The 20,704-nt window shown below is 40.7% G+C and overlaps 2 protein-coding genes across 23 annotated transcripts in view, besides 2 other annotated features; one reads left to right on the top strand and one right to left on the bottom strand.

The window, feature by feature from the left end:
• Window positions 1-11,393, bottom strand: part of FIG4 (FIG4 phosphoinositide 5-phosphatase) — a 134,131-nt gene extending 122,738 nt beyond the window's left edge. The window contains exon 1 of one of the 2 annotated variants that reach the window (NM_014845.6): window positions 11,188-11,393. In NM_014845.6, the coding sequence (NP_055660.1) occupies window positions 11,188-11,253 (66 nt within the window). In that variant the 5' untranslated portion in view covers window positions 11,254-11,393. Of the gene's footprint in view, window positions 1-966; window positions 1,788-11,187 lie in introns of those variants that run through there. The other variant, XM_011536281.4, reaches the window with a different exon arrangement.
• Window positions 11,440-11,909: an enhancer, noted in NCBI's record as "active region_24931". NCBI's record gives its function as "activates an Ori minimal core promoter by ATAC-STARR-seq in GM12878 lymphoblastoid cells {active_cell/tissue: GM12878}" and the evidence as "EXISTENCE:reporter gene assay evidence [ECO:0000049][PMID:35858748]".
• The window catches only part of AK9 (adenylate kinase 9), a 198,348-nt gene continuing 189,130 nt past the window's right edge, over window positions 11,487-20,704 (top strand). For 11 of the 21 annotated variants that reach the window (XR_942337.3, XM_011535554.3, XM_006715376.4 and 8 more), the window contains exons 1-2: window positions 11,487-12,217; window positions 16,629-16,845. Coding sequence is in view for 11 of the 21 variants with exons in the window: in XM_011535554.3 (XP_011533856.1) it covers window positions 16,641-16,845 (205 nt within the window). In the remaining 10 variants the exon portion in view is untranslated. Of the gene's footprint in view, window positions 16,846-20,704 lie in introns of all 21 variants that reach the window. The other 10 variants (XM_047418304.1, NM_001145128.3, XM_011535552.3 and 7 more) reach the window with 3 other exon arrangements.
• Window positions 15,476-15,676: a silencer, noted in NCBI's record as "peak6018 fragment used in MPRA reporter construct". NCBI's record gives its function as "represses an SCP1 promoter by STARR-seq MPRAs in K562 erythroleukemia cells {active_cell/tissue: K562}" and the evidence as "EXISTENCE:reporter gene assay evidence [ECO:0000049][PMID:32103011]".

Genomic DNA, 20,704 nt, shown 5'->3' with positions numbered 1-20,704 from the left:
ATAAAATATCCAAGAATAGGGAAGGAAAGGGAGCAGTAACTGGAGCACACAGGATTTCCATAGATCAGGCATGCCTCAGCCAGACTCCCTAAAGGCATATATACATGCAAGTAGGTGCCTACGAATCAACACCACTAGGGAAAAGGTTTGTGTATTTGTAGATATGCTGGGGCTTGGGATTTGGCAGGAGTTCAGGTGGAGAATTAGGATACCAAAGAGAAAAGCTACATTGAAATAATACCTGTTAAGATAGAAGATGAGCTAAGCTGGCTCTCTTCTGAAAGTTAAGTGTCATTGTTCAGGCAAAAGCTTACAATTTCAATATAGCTTTAATAGAGGTGACTTGGTATAAAGATGAGTATTTCTAAAATATATATGTGAAATCCAAATAGAATACAATAGGTAATCCATTTAACAGGAAATTCAGTATCTACTAACATTATCTTCTTTTATAATGACAGGCTAATTAATCACTCACTTTTCATCTGAGGGAGGAAAATCAGCCTTCTTGAAAGAAATTTTAGGTTGTATGACAGCTTCAATTCATGTTAAACTTCACCTGAACTTTCAGATTAAATGTATTATTTGTAAAGAGCACCATGAAGTTGCTTCTCCCAATCTAACAGTATTGCAAGCCTGCCTCCTCACTTAGTCCAGTAATCCCAGTAATTGGGTAATGCCGCCCAGAAGGGGGAAGTGAGTCTCAAGAGAGGTCTGCAAGTCTATCCATTTGACCTTCAGGGCTTTACTCTGGGGAAGCTTCAAATCCTCTGTAGAAACAAATGTGAATGTCACCTCCAACCACACACTCTAAACCAGTTATTAATATAATCGCTATGTTTCTCTCTCTCACTTTATATACTTTGGTTTCCTTTTCCAATCCTTAGTCAACTACACCCTATATTGCTCTCTCCCATTCACTGATTACACAAATCAAGGCTAATTAAGAAAGGTGCATTTCCTCACCATGTGGTTCTTGTTTTATTCTACTTTCTGTGATGGGGGTGGGAGGGAGCTTCCTTAAATCCTTTTGGAACAAGGCAGGCAATAAATGCATACATATATGCTAACAATCTTGAACAAGTAAGAGTAAAAATTATCCTAACAACTTTCATCTCCCCGTCCCCTGCTAAATAGACACATGCAGACCTAGTTCTGTTTAGCTACCAATTTTAACGTCAACTATTATGTGTTCATTTCTTTGTTATGAAATGGTCACTTATTGTGATGCTAAGGTCCCTATGTCATCACATATTAAGCAAGGGCACCTTCTTGTAAAGGCAAACTGCAATTTCACCCAGGATAACTTCAGGTTGCTGAATCTCTGCTGGAAACTCCTAGTTGCACTGGGCTGTATGACTGTTAGTGCTGCGTTAGGCCTGGGCCACAAGGCATATTAGGACCACAGACGAGTCACAAGAGCTAAGGAGCATATTGAAGGTGCTAGGTGCCAAAAAGAATAGGTTAGTTTGGGAAAGGGCCAACCCTCACAAGCTAGAACTACACTTCCTGCATGTCATCTGCCAACACAGCTCCCTTTCCTCTCCAAATATTCCTCAAAATCCACCTCTATACACAGAGAACAATAACGACCTGAACTTCGCCTCCAGAGCAAGTCTACCCAATTATATTTCTAAATGAAGGCTCAGGACAAGAGACAGCCCATCTTGTCCACTGGCTCTTTTGCTTCTTAATGTGTCTCCTAATTCCTTTATAACTAATTAAAGGTAGAGTGTCCCTTATCTGAAATGCTTGGAACCAGAAGTAAATCAGATTTTCTGTTTTCTTAGATTTTGAAAATATACATAATGAGCTATCCTGGGGATGGGACCCAATCTAAACATAAAATTCATTTATGTTTCATATACACCTTATAGACATAGCCTAAAGGTAGTTTTACACAATGTCTTAAATAATTTTGTGCATGAAACAAAGTTTGTGTACACTGAACCATCAGAAAGCAAAGACATCACTAGCTCAGCCACCCATGTGGACAATCCACAGTTGTTGGCATTACCACTTGTGGTGTCATGTCATGTCCAAAAAAATTTTGGATTTTGGAGCATTTCAGATTTCATATTTTCAGATTAGGGATACTCAACCTCTAATACACCCCCACCAACCAAAATAAGAATGCCCATTTCTTTCAAATACTTCCCAGCAACGGCTTTGGCAAATCTTTGCCATTCTAACAGGGGGAAAAAGGGAATCTATTTTCATTTTATTGCTTTAATTATTTGCAAGTTGAACATTTTTTCATATTCAAACTTCTTTTTAGTGAGCTACTTGTTGATATCCTTGTCCTTTTTATTGGGTGTTTTATTTTTCAGATTGATTTTATAAGATATTTTTGCATGTAAGGATATACTGCTTTATCTGTTGTTCAGGCTACTAAGACTTTCACCATCTGTCATTAATCTTTTGACTACTTTTAAATTTACATTGATAGTTTTAAATGTTTTATATTAGAAAAAAATTAAGTCAACGGCATAAATTTCTATCTTATGAAGCTAGAGAAAGATAAGTTGATTGCTATGGTATACATGTCTGTGTCCTCCCAAACATTTAAAATTCATATGTTGAAACCTAATCCTTAATGCAATAGTATTCAGAAGTGGGACTTTTTGGAAGTGATTCAGTCCTGAGAGCAGAGCCCTCATGAATGGGGATAGTGCACTTATGAAAGAGGTTCAAGGAAGCCTTATTTGCTCCTTCCATTGTGTGTGGACACAGCAGGTCCTCACCAGACACTGGATCTGCCAGTGCCTTGATCTTGGACTTACCAGCCTCCAAACTGTGAAAATCGTAAGCCAACTAGTTGATGGGATTTTGTTACAGCAGCCTGAACGGAATAAGACACTGATTAATCCAAAATGCACATGAGAGGCCAGGCACGGTGGCTCACACCTGTAATCCCAGCACTTTGGGAGGCCGAGGCAGGCAAATCACTTGAAGTCAGGAGTTCGAGACCAGGCTAGCCAACATGGTGAAATCCTGTCTCTACCGAAAATTCAAAAAATTAGCTGGGCATGGTGGCGTGGGCCTGTAGTCCCAGTTACTTGGGAGGCTAAGGCAGGAGAATCACTTGAACCCAGGAGGCAGAGGCTGCAGTGAGCCGAGATCGAGCCACTGCACTCCAGCCTGGGCGACACAGCAAGACTCCGTCTCAAAAAAAAAAACAAAAAAAAAACAAACAAAAAAAAACCGCGTATGAGGAAAAAAAATAAGCCTAGGAGCAGAAATTAATTAACCAGAAAATACACAATATAGAAAATTAACCAAGTCAAAAGTTTATTCTTTCAAATCCCTAGCAAGATGAATCAAAGCAAAATCAAAGAGAACACAAAACACCAATGTCAGAAATAAAAGTGAAAATTTTACTACAAATCCTATAGACATCAAAAGGATTATAAGGGAATATTATGGGCAACTTAATGCCAATAAATTCAACAACTAAGATAAAATGAACAAATTCCTGGAAAAATATAATTTGTCAAAACTGATTCTAGGTCCACTGAAAATGTGTATAGCCCTATATCTGTTATGGAAAATGATTGATATCATTATCAAAATTCACCCCACAAAGGAACTCTATTCACAAATCTTTCACTGGTGAATCCTAGCAAACATTGAAAAATAGAAGCAATACCAATCATATAATCACTTTCAGAAAATGAACACTTTTTAACTCATTTTATGAAGCTAGAGTTATCCTGATATCAAAATCAGACAAAGACATTAAGAAAATGATAGACCAATATCCTGAATGTATTAATAAAAGCAAAGATTCTTAACAAAATATTAGCATATAGAATCTAGCAATATATAAAAACAGTAATAAATCATGATCAAGTAGGGTATACCTCCAAAATCCAAGGTTTAACATTTGAAAATGAATTAATGTAATTGGCCATAATACGCAAATAAAGAAAATGTCATGTGCAGATGTGAAAAAAACATTTGACAAAATTCAACATCCACTCACAATTTTTTTATAAAGTCTCATCAGACCAAAGCAAGAAATATTCCTCAATCTGAAAAAGGGTATCTAACCAATAGCTAACATCATACTCAACAGTGAAAGACTGAATACTTTCCCTCTAAGATAAAAAACAAGACAAGAATGTCTGTTCCGGTCACTTCTATTCAACTTTGTACTAGAGGTCCTGGCCAGGGCCATAGGTCAAGAGAAAGAAATAAATGGCATCAAGATGGGGAAGCAAAAAGTGTTCCTCTTTCTAGATTATACAATTTCAATTATCCCGAATTGGTCTACAGATTCCATGAAATTCAAATCACAATCCCAACAGGCTTTTTATTAGAAGTTGACAAGCCTATTGTAAAATTCATATGGAAACACAAAGGTTCTAGAATAGCCATAATAATTTGGGAAAAGAATAAAGTTGGAAAACTTCCTGATTTTAAGACTTACTATAAAACTACAATTATCAAGACAAGTTGGTAATGACACTAAAAAATAAAAAAATAAAAAAAAAAAACAGGCCAGGCACGGTGGCTCAAGCCTGTAATCCCAGCACTTTGGGAGGCTGAGGCGGGCGGATCACAAGGTCAGAAGTTCGAGACCAGCCTGGCCAACATAGTGAAACCCCGTCTCTACTAAAAATACAAAAAATTAGCCAGATGTGGTGGTGTGCACCTGTAATCCCAGCTATCCGGGAGGCTAAGGCAGGAGAATCGTGTGAACCCAGGAGGCAGAGGTTGCAGTGAGCCGAGATCGTGCCATTGCACTCCAGCCTGGGCGACAGTGCAAATCACCGTCTTAGAAAAAAAAAAAAAAATTGATCAATGGAAAGAGTTTAAGAAAAGATCCACATTTATTCAGTCAACTAGTTTTTTCAAAGGATGCCAAAGAAATTCAATAAAGGATAGTCATTTTTACAAATGATATGGGACAATTGAGGTACAGACAAAAGTGAACTTTAATCTCTGCAGCCTCCAAGAACTCTTAATGATTCTTGTCTCTTGGTATTCATGTCCTTCGTATGGCCCCCTTCCATACTCAACAGGGCTAACCTGTGTAAGAATATTGTAGAAATGATAAGAGTGTGACTTCTGAGGCTCAGTCACAAAAGACATTGCAGTTTCCTCCTTGTTTCTCTTGCATAACTCTCTCTGGATGAAGCAGGCTACCACATTATAAGGACAGACACTCAAGGAGTCCTGTGGAAATGTCCATGATGCAAGAAGGCAAAGCTCCTTGTCAACAGTCAGCTCAACTTGTCAGGCACGTGAGTTAGCTATTTGGGAAGTAAATCTGCCATTTCTTTCAAGCCTTCAGATGACTGCAACCCAGTTGAATCTTGACTGCGACTTCATGAGACCCTGAGCCAGAATCACTCAGCTAAGTCACTCCCAAAATCCTGATCTACTGAATCATACATTTTTCCCTTTTTTTTTTTTTTTTTTGAGACAGAGTCTCACTCTGTCGCCCAGGCTGGAGTGCAGTGGCACAATCTCGGCTCACTGCAAGCTCCACCTCCCAGGTTCACGCCATTCTCCTGCCTCAGCCTCCCGAGTAGCTAGGACTACAGGCGCCCACCACCATGCCCAGCTAATTTTTTGTATTTTTAGTAGAGACGGGGTTTCACTGTGTTAGCCAGGATGCTCTCAATCTCCTGACCTCATTTTTCCCTTTTTTAGGTAACATGTAATAATTGTACATATGAAACATAGAGTGATATTTTAATACATGCGTACACTGTGTAATGATCAAATCAGGGTAATTAGCATATCCATCACCTCAAACATCTATAATTTCTTTGTGTTGGGATCACTCAAAATCCTTTCTTCTAGCTAAGTGAAAATCTATGATAAATTATTTACCTATAGTCAGCCTACAGTGCTATAAAACACTAGAGCTTATTCCTCTTATGTAGCTGTTATTTTATATCTGTTAACCCTCCCTCCCTATCATTCCCTCTTTCCTACCCTTCCTACCCTCGAATAACCACAATTCTACTCTCTGCTTCTATAAGCTCAACATCGTTTTTTAGCACCCACGTGTGAATGAGAACATTTATCTTTCTGTGCCTGCCTGATTTCATATAACATAATGTCCTCTAGACTCATCCATATTTGCTGTGAATGACAGAAATTCATTCTTTTTCCTGGCTGAATAGTATTCCATTGTGTGTATATATACCACATTTTTTAATCCATTCACCTGTCAATTCACATTTAGGCTGATTCCACATCTTAGCTATCGTGAATAGTGCTACAATAAACATGGAGGTGCTGATATGTCTTTGACATACTGATTTCCTTTCTTTTGAATATATAAGGGGACTTGATAAAGTTCATGGAAAATGCGTATTATAAAAAAGCTATGGATTTCAAAATTTTTTTGCACCAAAATAAACTGATACTAACTTGCTATAACATGTCTGAACAGGATCTAGTTTGAAGTACTAGGAAGGATAACAGATCAGTTTGAAAACAGCCCGTCAGAGCAACATGAATTCTGCTAAAATTGAAACATGAACAAACGTCAAATCTATGGTAAAACTTGGGTGGAAGAAGGGTGAAATCATTGATGCTTATTAAAAGTTTATGGGGACAATGCCCCAAAGAAATATGCAGTTTACAAATGAATAACTTTAAGAAGGGATGAGACAATGTTGAAGATAAAGCCCACAGCAGCAGACCACCCATGTAAATTTTTCAGGAAAAAAATTCACTTGTTTGTTCCCTGATTAAAGAGAACAGATGATTAACAGCAGAAATAAGAGCCAACACCATAGACATCTCAATTGGTACAACTTACACAATTCTGCCTGAAAATTTAAAGTTGAGCAAACTTTCCACTTGATGGCTCCCAACGCTGTTTCACCCAGATCAGCTGCAGACAAGAGCAGAGCCTTCTATAGAAATTTTAAACAAGTGAGATCAAGATCCTGAAGCATTTCTTCAAAGAACTGTATTAAATATGGCGTTACCAGTATGATCCTAAAGTCAAAGCACAACCAAAGCAATGGCTACCAACAGGTGGCAGTGGTCCAATTAAAGCAAAGCAGACGGGCCAAGAGGAAAGGTCATGGCAACATTGTGTGTGTGTGTGTGTGTGTGTCTGTGTGTGTGTGTGTGTGTGTATTCACTGCATTTTGCTCGTTGACTTTCTGGAAAGCTAAAGAACAGTATCTGCTTATTATGAGAGTGTTTTGAGAGAGTCAGCCAACACTTTAGCAGAAAAATACCCAGGAAGCTCCATCACAGAGTCCTTCTCCACCACAACAATGCTGCTGCTCATTCCTCTCATCAAACATGGGAATTCTGCAAGAGTTTCAATGGAAAATAATTAGGCATCTGCCTTACAGTTCCAATTTTGCTCCTTCTGACTTCTTTTTGTTTCCTCATCTTAAAAAGAATCCTTAAAGGGCACCCATTTTTCTTTAGTTAACAGAGTAAAAAAGACTGCACCAATATGGTTAAATTCCCAGGACCCTCGGTTCTTTGTGGATGAATTAAATGGCTGGTATCATTAGTTACAAAAATGTCTTGACCTTGACGGAAGTTAGCTTGAGAAATAAAGTTTACATTTGTTATTTTTATCTTTTAATTCCATTTTCCCATGAACTTTTTGAAATCCCCTCATATACACACCCAGTAGTGGGACTGCCGGATTTTTAGTTTTTTGAGGAACCTCCATACTGTTTTCTATAATGGCTATACTAATTTACATTACCACCAATACTATATAAGAATTCCCTTTCTCCATATCCTCACCAGCATTTGATAATTTTTGTCCTTTTGAAAATAGCCATTTTAACTGAGGTGACATGATATCTCACTGTGGTTTTAATTTGCATTTCCCTGATAATTAGTGACCTTGAGTAATTTTTCATATACCTGTTGGCCATTTGTATATCTTCTTTTGAGAAATGTCTACTCAGATCCTTGCCCATTTTTAATTGGATTATCTGGGGGTATTTGCTGTTGAGTTGTTGAATTCCTCATATATTCTGGATATTAGTCCCTTCTTGGATGAAGAGTTTGCAAATATTTTCTCCATTCTATAGGTTGCCTCTTCACTCTGTTGATTGTTTCTTTTGCTGTGCAGAAGCTATTCAGCTTGATATAGTCCCATTTGTCTATTTTTGGGTTTGTTCCCTGTGCTTTTAAAGTCTTACTCATAAAATCTTTGCCTAGACCAATATCCTGAAGCATTTCCCCTATGTTTTCTTCTGGTAGTTTTACAGTTTTGGGTCTTGCACTTAAGCCTTTAATCCATTTTAAGTTGATCTGTGGATATGGCAAGAGAGAAGGGCCTTATTTCATTCTGCACATGGATATCCAGTTTTCTCAACACCATTTATTGAAGAGACTGTCCTTTCCCCAGTATACATTCTTAGCACCTGCACCACACCTTATGCCTAGTGTTCCGTTATTGGAACGCTAAGCTTGTGGGAGTTATTTATATCCTACTGCTCAAGGTCATCGCAAAGGTCTGATTTTTCACACAAAAAAATTTGCAACCTCTGGCATAAATGGGTTAAGTAACTGCCTTAAATTATCTTTGCCTCATTTTTTTTCTTTACTAAATAATATATATAGTAGTAGAATTAACAGCATGATCTCTTAGAGGTCTTATGAGGATTAAATAATAAAATATATGTAGAATATTTTGAGCTATTATCCTCATTATTACAACCTACTACAGTTTTTGTTTTTTTAATTCATAGCATTTATCCAGTTGCCTGTAATTTTATGCCTTTTTCTTATTTATTTATACTTTGAGCTTATTAGTAAAAACAAAACAAAACAAAACAAAACCTTTCTGCTTATATCTTTAACCAAAAAAAAAAAATTATTTAACAAAACCGAGACTCAGTGATTCAATGCAGCAGACATTTTCAAGGGTGGTTGCCCAGCCCCAACCATTTGCTGAAACAAAGAGGATCCTGATTCCACAGCTAAATCATTCCTGCCAGACCCCCCCTGGCCATGAATGATTTGTCCACTCAGGGGATGATAACCAATCATAGTTGAGTCGATCAGATTTTTTCTCCCAGCACCTACACTGTTTTTGGCAGTACTCTGAGAGGGTTCTCAAACCTGTTATCTCTTTCCTGCTTTTCCAGAAGCTGGATACCATGCAATGGCTCCCCTAGCATCCCTCTGATAAATTTACCTTTTGTCTCTAAGCTGGCCAGAGTTAGTTTCCATTACTTAGGCAGTTGAGAGGGGTCACAGCTGAGTTCTGGAACACACCTCTATCTCTTTGTGTTAGAGCTCCTTAATCCACATCTATTGAGAGACTACTGTTTGCAAGGCATGACCAGATATGTGCTGTGAGGATCAGCAAGGTTTTGACAGGAAAAGAGGGGGTGTGGCATTAAGAGAATAGAGAACAGCAGAAAAACACAGGGCAGATATAGGGAACTGAAAGCAATACAGTTTTACTGCAGAATAAGGCATATGAAGGCACATGGTTGATCCTCAATAAATGTTTCATTAATTGATATTAAATTAGATGTAAAACTAGATAGACAAGTTGAGGACAAATAATACATGGCTTTGAATGCCAACTAAGGGATTCAGAGTTTACTTGCTTCAGAATTGGGACCACTGAAGATTTCTGAGCAGAAGAGCCCTATAATATGAATTGTGCTTTCTGAACACTAATATCTCACGCAGTCCTCATGAGTGATCAGCTTTTTAATGGGCTGAAATTTGTGTTTTATTTACGGCCAGATGCGGTGGCTCATGCCTGTAATCCCAACACTTTGGGAGGCTGAAGCCAGGAGTTTTAGACCAGCCTGGCCAACATGGAGAATCCCTGTCTTTTATTAAAAACACAAGAATTAGCCGGTCATGGTGTCACATTCCTGTAATCCTAGCTACTTGGGAGGCTGGGGTGCGAGAACTTCTTGAACCTGGGAAGCAGAGGTTGCAGTGAGTGAGCCGAGATAGCACCACTGCACTCCGGCCTGGGTGACAGAGCAAGACTCTGTCTCAAAGGGAAAAAAAAAAAAGTTATTTATGTTTCTAATGAGGGAAATTTAGCAGCATATTTTACAGAAAATAGGTTTCATTTCAATGACAAATGATACTTCTTTATGGGTCTCATTAGAGAACTGAAAATACTTGCAAATACAGTATATTTGATAATGTCATTTTCTGCTCTAGATCTAATCAAAGTTGTCAGCAAAATTAATTTAAGGTCCACAATTCTCTACTCATGTTAACCTGAGGGAGAGGTTATTGTGCTATTAGGACTACGTTATAACTGAGAAACTGTTAAATGCCTTCTCATACTCCTCTAATGGAGACAACCCAAGTTTCAGAGAAACAGTTTATAAAGCACTCTATAACATAGTGAAGAGCATTATGAAAATATCTGGCATATGCAATCTTGTTAGCATGAAATGGGTAATATTAAACACAGTCCCTAATATCACTGTGGCACCCCAATTTAGAAGAGCTATACTGTACCAACTTTGCTTTCCACCCACAGAAAGGACCAAGTATGAAGTTATATAAACACCATTCTCCCTTAATTGAGGAACTGGTAATCGAAATACAAACTGATCTGCTTATTCACTATTTACATGGCCATTCAAAGTAATAAAATTTTAAAAGTAAATGTTATGTTGAAAAAAGTCAAGTGAAAAGCAAGATGTTATCCAAACAAATTATCTGTCTTTAAACAAAGTAAGTTTTCCTTTCCTTTCAAATAAGAAAAAAAGAGAACCAAAAAGTTCACCAATAGAAGTGTAATTCACATGAATCGCAGTGATGGTATACCATGGAATAGGAAAAAATAAGTTACAAGTCATAGTTCAAATTTTTTTCATACCCCTGCCTGTACTGTAACTTGTGAACTCTAGAACTTTAACAGACTTTCTGAAAGCTGAAAAGAATCCAGTAACTCGTACAGAGAACCTCATGAACAGTTCCTGAGGTACCACAAGCACCTGTTTCCAGCGTGTTCCAGCCATGGCTTGTAAGTGGACCTGCAAATGCTGCAATGTCCAGGGTACCAAAATAGGGGAAAGGCGCCCAGGCACAGCTCAAGGGAGCTAGCTTACCCCAAGGCTGTGTTTGACAGGGATTTGGGAACTGGAGAGGAAGGAGGAGGAGGCAGAGTACAGCCTCTGTCCTACGGCCCCACACCCACCGGCAGACATCCATCCTCCCGCCTGCGCCCCGCCGCGAGGGGGTACTCACAGCTCTAGTCTCATACAGAACCAGCTTCTGGACCGAGCTGATGATGGGGGCGGCGGCCGTGGGCATGGCGGCGGCAAATGGGGGCCCCACAACAGGGCACGAGCCTCCGGACCGCCCCAGGAGACTCGGCGAGAAAACCCCTCAGGCCCTGGACATCAAGTCCAGCCAGGAACAACACCCATTAGGCACTAAACCTATAGATGATCAGGTGTTTCCGGATCCCTGCGCCCCGCCTCCAGGCAAGCCCCGCCCCTCACGTCGGGAGCGGGGCTGGAGGACGTATCATAGAGAGGTCGGGTAGAGGCTCCCGGGACCTGCGTGCTGCCGAGAGAGGAAGCGAAGGGCACCATCTTTGGTAAGGATTGGAGGAAAACATGGGCGGAGAAAAAGTCGACGGATTAATTGAGTCTATTTATCTCCTCCCTCTCTTTGGAAAAAAGCGGAAGGTTTGGGATTGGGTAGCTTCTTTTGAAAAGGGTTCTCCGAGTTGCAGGATAGATCCTTGTGTTTTCCCTGCCTGCTGCGGCCCATTTTCCTGGAAGCCGGCCCTCTGACGGTCCTTCACTGAGTGTCAGTTTTCCCCTCACCTCTAATCCATGTTGTACCTACGCTGTGTGGCCCAAGAAATTGTTTTAAAATCACCTAAAGCTGGAAAGTGTGGCTTTGCCACACGTTTGTGCGTGAGGCTAGCCACTTGAAGTTGTCGACAGAGACTAGCGCAGTGTGGCGGAGCCGCGCTTGAAATGAGGTTTCTTCATTTCATGTGTGCGACATAAATGGGCATGCGCGTACCCTCTCTTCCATAGTTGTGAAAATGAGTGTATTATAATTATAAATGCCAAATTAGGTACAAAAGTGACTATTTCGAATTGGAAAAGAAATGACAAAGAACTACAGCCCCGCCTCTCGAGGCCCCGCCCCACCAAGCAGCAGGTGCGTGGCGGCCAGAGGTCTCCCCGGCAACCGCCCGACAGCCCCGCGGAGTCCCTGGAGGCAGTTGCTTCCCTGAGGAGGGTCCGGCTGCGGCCAGGTAAGGAGCCTTCCGGCGGCCCGCTGGGTCGTGGTCCGCCCTGGAGGCATCTTGGTATCTGTTGCACGGAACCCCGCCTCCTGCGGGGACCCCCAGACCAGCTTCTTTTCTTGCAAAACGGTCTCTTTGTAAATCCACTTTTTAAAACCACGTCTCCTTTCAACGACTGAAGTATTTATTCCACAAATATTTACTGAACACCTACTGCAAGAGTATAAGATGTAGGGGAGAGGCAGCTATCCTATCTTAGGCGGCAATTCTAGGTTTCCCAGGAAACCTCTAAACCTCAGAAACCTCTGCTAGAGGGCTTCTCAACTGCTAAGTGTAAGGAAACTTTAAAAAAAAATTATAGAATTATAGCATACCCAGATAACATTCATGTAATACCAAAGATCATATTGTAAATTAAAATTTGAGAAATTACAAAAATTGTAAAGAAATACTTAAGTCTATGTTATTTTGCGCTTCTTTCCCCCTGTAGTTTGGTACTCCTTTTATTAAGAACTAGAAGGATGGCCGTGTCCGTTCTGGCATTTTGGACTTGGATCTTTTAACTGGGAAAAATAGTTAGCTGTGTTCTGTTTCATAATGAAACCAACTCTTCTGAATATTAGTTAAATGTTTGCACAGTGTTTTTATCTAGGATAGCAACTCTTAAAATACCTGAAGGATTCTAGTTTTCAATTATTATAGTTTAGCACTTCCATTTTAACTTTATCTTAGTTTATTTCACCCGGAATCAGATCCTAAGACAAAACTTTGAAGGCAGGTTGTTTATATGAGACGTAATCCCAGGAAACAGCAGCAGGGAGGGGAAGAAAACTAATAAAGGAAATATTACCAGAGAAATTTCTCTGTGGGCTGAATTCACTAGGGAATACTGGGAGGCATGTCTCAGTTATCCCCTCTTGAGGGGCAAGGAAGCTGGAGTATTTATTCGCCAACTTCCATCAGTTATTGGATGAAGCCTGATAGGGCAGAACATTGATGCCCTAGAACTTCCAGTCTACCCTGTGTTCAGGGAGAGTAGGTTCTGGCAGCCAGAGAAAGCCCTTAGGCAAAAAGTCGCACATGCTAACATTTTGGAAGTTGGGCTGGTCGTGCATAGAAAAGGTGTATGTCAAGTGGATATGGGGGAGGCACTAATAGCAGCTGCTACATTCCACCCTTTGCAGCACTCGTATCCATTCTTCCTCCACATCAAGTTCACACCATGCCACCCTAATTCTTTAAGGTAGTGGCTAGTCTCAATTTTTAAAAGAAAAGGACTTACAAAAAAAAAGATTAATGGGACAAGCTGCAGAATCCACTACTGCAATTAATCTGAGGTCTCTAATTGATCATCTCCTTCCTCTAACATCATTCTAGATTTTCCTTACTCTTGGCCAACACTTCTGCTGGTCTGTGTTTGCCCAGTAGGATAACAAGCTTTCATCCCTGAGGAGCATAAGCCCTTGGTTACTGTGTCATTGTAAGGTTTTGGTTGCTGCAATTACCCATTCACTGGACATGAAAGCATCAAGAGCTGTCTCAGAGAATCCCCTGAGTTCAAGAAATGCATCCCCTATCCCACTTATCTAGCAGTTTATGGCCATACCACCCTGAGCACCCCCAATCTCATCCAATCACATAGCAGCAACCCTATCTCCATCTGCCAGTGCAATAACTCCTTATGAGCTTTTGGAGTCAAAAATGACCAGGTGGCAGCAGTAGTTTTAAGATTTAATGAAACCTTTACTGGGTCCCCTGATAGAACCATCTCTCCCCTCCACCAGACCCAGGACCTCTTGTCCAGAAGTGAGGTGCAAATTTCCCAAGTCAATCACTGAGAGTATTAGTGAGAGGGGTCACTCCTACTTCCAGCCCTTGATTCAAAGCATGTTCCTCATCTTGAAGTACATTGTCTCAATCCCACACAATCCCAAGCTAGCGCCTTAGCTGTGCCTTTAAGAGACCATTCCAACATTCTGTCAAACCAGTAGCTTCTAGGTAAAGTGGTATTGTAAAAAGGGTCCTCTGATCCAAGGCAATGGTATATGAGATCTCATGAAGATAAATGAGACATACTCTAAACCTTTAGGTAGTGGTGCTGGCCAAGGCACTGCAGGTAGGAAAAACAAGCCCATATTAGGAGCATTTGTCACTTGCCCCTTTAAAGGTGAAGGGGTCCTGTGTAATCAATTTGTCACTGAATGAATGTTTTGTCTCCTAAAGGGGTTGTACCATATTGAGGGCTCAATATGAACAGGTCTCAATTTGTAATCAATTTGTCACTGAATGAATGTTTTGTCTCCTAAAGGGGTTGTACCGTATTGAGGGCTTAATATGAACAGGTCTCTGCCATGAACAGGTAGAACATTCAGCAGCAGTAGTGTAGCTAAACCAGCCTGGTGAAAGGAGGCCTTGATATGAGCCCATGCCTATCCTTCATCACCTTCATCCCTGCCACCATGCCTACTTCATTTACAAACCCATTATGCAAGCATTGAGGTGACCAGAAGCAAAGATTGGCTCATGTCTACTGGATAAATTATCCTGTCCACCTGGTTTTTTCAGTGCCTCTTCTGAGGTGGATGCTTTCTGAGATACAAATATCTATGTATTTTACATCCACTTACATTAGTTTTCTATGCTGCATAGCAAATTACTGCAAATTTAGCAGCTTAAAACAACACACATTTGTGATCGCACGGTTTCCATGGCCAGGAGCCCTGGCATCACTCACCTGGGTCCTCTGCTCAGGGTTTTACAAGGCTGCAATCTGGTGTTGGCTGAGATGTGCTTCCATCTGGAGACTTGACTAGGGAAGAATCCACTCCCAAGCTGATTCACATTGTTGGCAAGCATCATCGTTTTGTGGTTGTAGGACTGAGGTCACTGTTTTCTTACCAGCTGTTGGCAGGGGCTGCACTCACATGCCACCCACTCTTCCTCATCACGTGGTCCTCTCACAACATGGCAGCTTACTTCTTCCAAGCCAACAGAAAGTCTCCCTCCAGTCCCCTAAAATGGAGTCTTATACCATGTAGCATATTCATGAGACAGACATTCTGTCACCTTTGCTCTATTTAGAAGCAAGTTACAGACCCCACTCCCACTCAAAGGAAGAGGATTATGCAAGGGTGTGACTCACTGGAGGTCAGATTAGGGTGTGTTTGCTACACCACCCTCATAGGCCCAATCACATGCTTCTTCCCCAGAACTCTTTTTCTCTTACCTTCTGATCTTGTACCTTCTAGGCCCTTGATGAAACCAATCCGCATTGTCCTCCAAATTGAGGGCCTAGGAATACTGCTTAAAGCTCTGCCTGCCAGGAAGATTTCCCCTAATCACCATTTTTCAGGGCCACTTGTGAGAGGAACTCATGTCTGGAAGCATTACATTTACAGCTTTTACCAGTATATTGTGATTCATCCATGAATTTTGTTTTCATTTTCTGTCAGCTCTTCTTAGGGAATTCCACATGAGGTGTGAGCTGAAAGAGACATTGGTGCATGAGACAGGTGACATGGGCATCTGGGCTGCTTATTTTTGAAATTTATTTGTGCCCTGAAGACCTGTTTGAGCCTGATCCCATTGTTCCATTTTTATCATTTAATGGGTTGCTGCAGTGCCTGCCTGACTTTAGGACTTGACTTGTCTGACATAACCAGCTCATAGTGGATACTTCCAGTTGCATAGTCACTTGATATCCCATGACCAGGCATTCATTCTCTACCAGAGCCCAAGAGCATGCCAAGAGCTGTTTTTTGAATGGGGAATTATTCTCTGCTGCAGACAGCAAGGATCTACAGAGAGAGGCTCCTGTTGTGGCTTTCCTAAGACTCCAGAAGGTATCCTTACATACCACAGCATTGTGGGACCTTTAGTATTGTGGGATCTAGCCAGATGTATGGCCCAGGAAGCAAAGCCTCTGGTACTACAACCTAAAACTACAGAGCTCTTTCTTGCTGTGTGCCCCACTCAAAAATGACAGCTTTCCATGTCACCCACTAAATGGGTCAAAACAGTATTCTTTAGTGCGCTTTATGCTCTCTTTGAAAACTAAAGAGGCCTGCAAAATACTGTGCCTCTTTTTTAGAGGTTGAAGGTACAAGGTACAGTAACTCATCCTTTACCTTGGACAGAATGTCCCAGACCACTGGCCTTTTAAAACTTTACCAAAGTAATAAGACCTTCAAACTTTGTAGGTTTATCTCTCACTTTATACTTACTGCTCATGTGTCTTTATAAGGGGATCCGGGACACTTGCAACTTCCTGCTCACTAGGTCTGATATTGTCAATATTGTGGATCAAGACCCCTTTATACTATATTGTCTCAAACAGCAGGAGAGTCCTTGGGTAAGACTGGATGTTCACTGTCACTGCTCTAAGTGAATACAAATTGCTTCCGATCCTCTTTCTTGATAGGGATTGAAAAGGATGCACACATTGCCAGATCATCAGCTGCGTAAAAAATACAAGAGACTGTGTCTATCTAGTAAAGATCCCATCTGCACAGCAGTTGCAACTGGGACTACCAGCTTGTTAAATTTGCAGAAGTCTACCCTCATCTGTTGTGCTCTGTCTAGCTTCTACAAAAGCAAGACTGGAGAAATAAGCAGGATTGTACATCTTTTAAATTGTGGTTGGTATCACTCTTCATTCAGAATGATTTACTCTTGGTTATCTTGCCCAGGGGTGGAGGACCCAGTATGCAATGTCATGAGCTTCCACTTGGCCTTTTCTTTTTCTTTTTTTATTATTATATTTTAAGTTCTGGGGTACATGTGCAGAACGTGCAGTTTTGTTACATAGGTATACATATGCCATGGTGGTTTGCTGCACCCATCAACCCATCACCTACGTTAGGTATTTCTCCTAGTGTTATCCCTCCCATAGCCCCCCACCCCCGAAAGGCCCCAGTGTGTGATGTTCCCCTCCCTACGTCCATGTGTTCTCATTTTTCAACTCCCACTTATGAGTGAGAACATGCAGTGTTTGGTTTTCTGTTCTTGTGATAGTTTGCTGAGAATGATGGTTTCCAGCTTCATCCATGTCCCTGCAAAGGATGTGAATTCATCATTTTTTATGGCTGCATAGTATTCCATGGTGTATATATGCCACATTTTCTTTATCCAATCTATTATTGATGGACATTTAGGTTGGCTCTAAGTCTTTTCTGTAGTAAATAGTGCTGCAGTAAACATATGTGTGCATGTGTCTTTATAGTAGAATGATTTCTAATCCTTTGGGTATATACCCAGTAATGAGATTACTGGGTCAAATGGTATTTCTGGTTCTAGATCCTTGAGGAATCGCCACACTGTCTTCCACAATGGTTGAACTAATTTACACTCCCACCAACAGTGTAAAAGCGTCTCTATTTCTCCACATCCCCTCCAGCATCTGTTGTTTCCTGACTTTTTAATGATTGCCATTCTAACTGGTGTGAGATGGTATCTCATTGTGGTTTTGCGTTTCTCCAATGACCAGTGATGATGAGCATTTTTTCCATATGTCTGTTGGCTGCATAAATGTCTTCTTTTGAGAAGTGTCTGTTCATATCCTTTGCCTACTTTTTTTTTTTTTTTTTTTTTTTTTTTTTTTTTTTTTTTGAGACGGAGTCTCACTCTGTCGCCCAGGCTGGAGTGCAGTGGCGGGATCTCGGCTCACTGCAAGCTCTGCCTCCCGGGTTCACGCCATTCTCCTGCCTCAGCCTCCCAAGTAGCTGGGACTACAGGCGCCCGCCACTACGCCCGGCTAATTTTTTGTATTTTTAGTAGAGACGGGGTTTCACCATTTTAGCCGGGATGGTCTCAATCTCCTGACCTCGTGATCCGCCCGCCTCGGCCTCCCAAAGTGCTGGGATTACAGGCGTGAGCCACCGCGCCCGGCCTCCTTTGCCTACTTTTTGATGGGGTTGTTTGTTTTTTTTTCTTGTAAGTTTGTTTAAGTTCTTTGTAGATTCTGGATATTAGCCCTTTGTCAGAGGGATAGATTGCAACAATTTTCTCCCATTCTGTAGGTTGCCTGTTCACTCTGATGGTAGTTTCTTTTGCTGTGCAGAACCTCTTTAATTTAATTAGATCCCATTTGTCAATTTTGGCTTTTGTTGCCATTGCTTTTGGTATTTTAGTCATGAAGTCTTTGCCCGTGCCTATGTCCTTAATGGTATTGCGCAGGTTTTCTTCTAGGATTTTTATGGTCCTGGGTCTTACGTTTAAGTCTTTCATCCATCTTGAGTTAATTTTTGTATCAAGTATAAGGAAGGGGTCCAATTTCAGTTTTCTCCATTTGACTAGCCAGCTTTCCCAACACCATTTTTTAAATAGGGAATCTTTTCCCCATTGCTTTTTGTGTCAGGTTTGTCAAAGATCAGATGGTTGTAGATGTGTGGTGTTATTTCTGAGGCCTCTGTTCTGTTCCATTGGTCTATGTATCTGTTTTGGTACCAGTACCATGCTGTTTTAGTTACTGTAGCCTTGTAGTATAGTTTGAAGTCAGGTAGCGTGATGCCTCCAGCTTTGTTCTTATTGCTTAGGATTGTCTTGGCTATGAGAGCTCCTTTTTGGTTCCACATGAAGTTTAAAGTAGTTTTTCCCAATTCCATGAAGAAAGTCAGTGGTAGCTTGATGGGGATAGCATTGAATCTATAAATTACTTTGGGAAGTATGGCCATTTTCACAATATGATTCTTCCTATCCATGAGCATGGAATGTTTTTCCATTTGTTTGTGTCCTCTCCTATTTCCTTGAGCAGTGGTTTGTAATTCTCCTTGAAGAAGTCCTTCACATTTCTTGTAAGTTGTATTCCTAGGTATTTTATTCTCTTTGTAGCAATTGTGAATGGGAGTTCACTCATAATTTGGCCCTCTGTTTGTCTGTTATTGGTGTACAGGAATGCTTGTGATTTTTGCACATCGATTTTGTATCCTGAGACTTTGCTGAAGTTGCTTATCAGCTTAAGGAGATTTTGGGCTGAGACAATGGGGTTTTCTAAATATACAATCATGTCCTCTGCAAACAGAGACAATTTGACTTCCTCTCTCCCTATTTGAATACCCTTTATTTCTTTCTCTTGCCTGATTGCCCTGGCCAGAACTTCCAATACTGTGTTGAATAGGAGTGGTGAGAGTGGGCATCCTTGTTTTGTGCCAGTTTTCAAAGAAAATGCTTCCAGTTTTTGCCCATTCAATATGATATTGGCTGTGGGCTTGTCATAAATAGCTCTTATTATTTTGAGATACGTTCCATTGATACCTAGTTTATTGAGAGTTTTTAGCGTGAATGAGGTGTTGAATTTTGTTGAAGGCATTTTCTGCATCTATTGAGATAATCATGTGGTTTTGTCATTGGTTCTATTTATGTGATGGATTACATTTATTGATTTGCATATGTTGAACCAGCCTTGCATCCCAGGGATAAAGCTGACTTGATTGTGGTGGATAAGCTTTTTGATGTGCTGCTGCATTCAGTTTGCCAGCATTTTATTGAGGATTTTTGCATTGATGTTCATCAGGGATATTGGCCTGAAATTTTCTTTTTTTGTTGTGTCTCTCCCAGGTTTTGGTATCAGGATGATGCTGGCTTCATAAAATGAGTTAGCGAGAATTCCCTCTTTTTCTATTGATTGGAATAGTTTCAGAAGGAATGGTACCAGCTCCTTTTTGTACCTCTGGTAGAATTCGGCTGTGAATCCATCTAGTCCTGGACTTTTTTTGGTTGGTAGGCTATTAATCACTGCCTCAATTTCAGAGCTTGTTATTGGTTTATTCAGGGATTCGATTTTTCCTGGTTTAGACTTGGGAGGGTGTATGTGTCCAGGTATTTATCCATTTCTTCTAAATTTTCTAGTTTATTTGCTGAGAGGTGTTTATGGTATTCTCTGATGGTAGTTTGTATTTCTGTGGGATCAGTGGTGATATCCCCTATATCATTTTTTATTGCATCTATTTGATTCTTCTGTCTTTTATTCTTTATTAGTCTGGCTAGTGGTCCATATATTTTGTTGATCTTTTCAAAAAACCAGCTCCTGGATTCATTGATTTTTTTTTTTTTTTTTTGAGACGGAGTCTTGCTCTGTCACCCAGGCTGGAGTGCAGTGGCCCGATCTCGGCTCACTGCAAGCTCCGCCTCCCGGGTTCACGCCATTCTCCTGCCTCAGCCTCCCAAGTGGCTGGGACTACAGGCACCCGCCACCACGCCTGGCTAATTTTTTGTATTTTTTTAGTAGAGATGGGGTTTCACCCTGTTAGCCAGGATGGTCTTGATCTCCTGACCTTGTGATCCGCCCACCTAGGCCTCCCAAAGTGCTGGGATTACAGGCATGAGCCACCATGCCCAGCCAATTCATTGATTTTTTGAAGGGTTTGTCGTGTCTCTATCTCTTTCAGTTCTGCTCTCATCTTAGTTATTTCTTGTCTTCTGTAGATTTTTAATTTGTTTACTGTTGCTTCTCTAGTTCTTTTAATTGTGATGTTAGGGTGTCAATTTTAGATCTTTCCT

Source organism: Homo sapiens, chromosome 6 (assembly GCF_000001405.40).
Source record: "Homo sapiens chromosome 6, GRCh38.p14 Primary Assembly".
NCBI lineage: Eukaryota > Metazoa > Chordata > Mammalia > Primates > Hominidae > Homo > Homo sapiens.
This window is presented reverse-complemented; position numbering and strand designations above follow the sequence as displayed.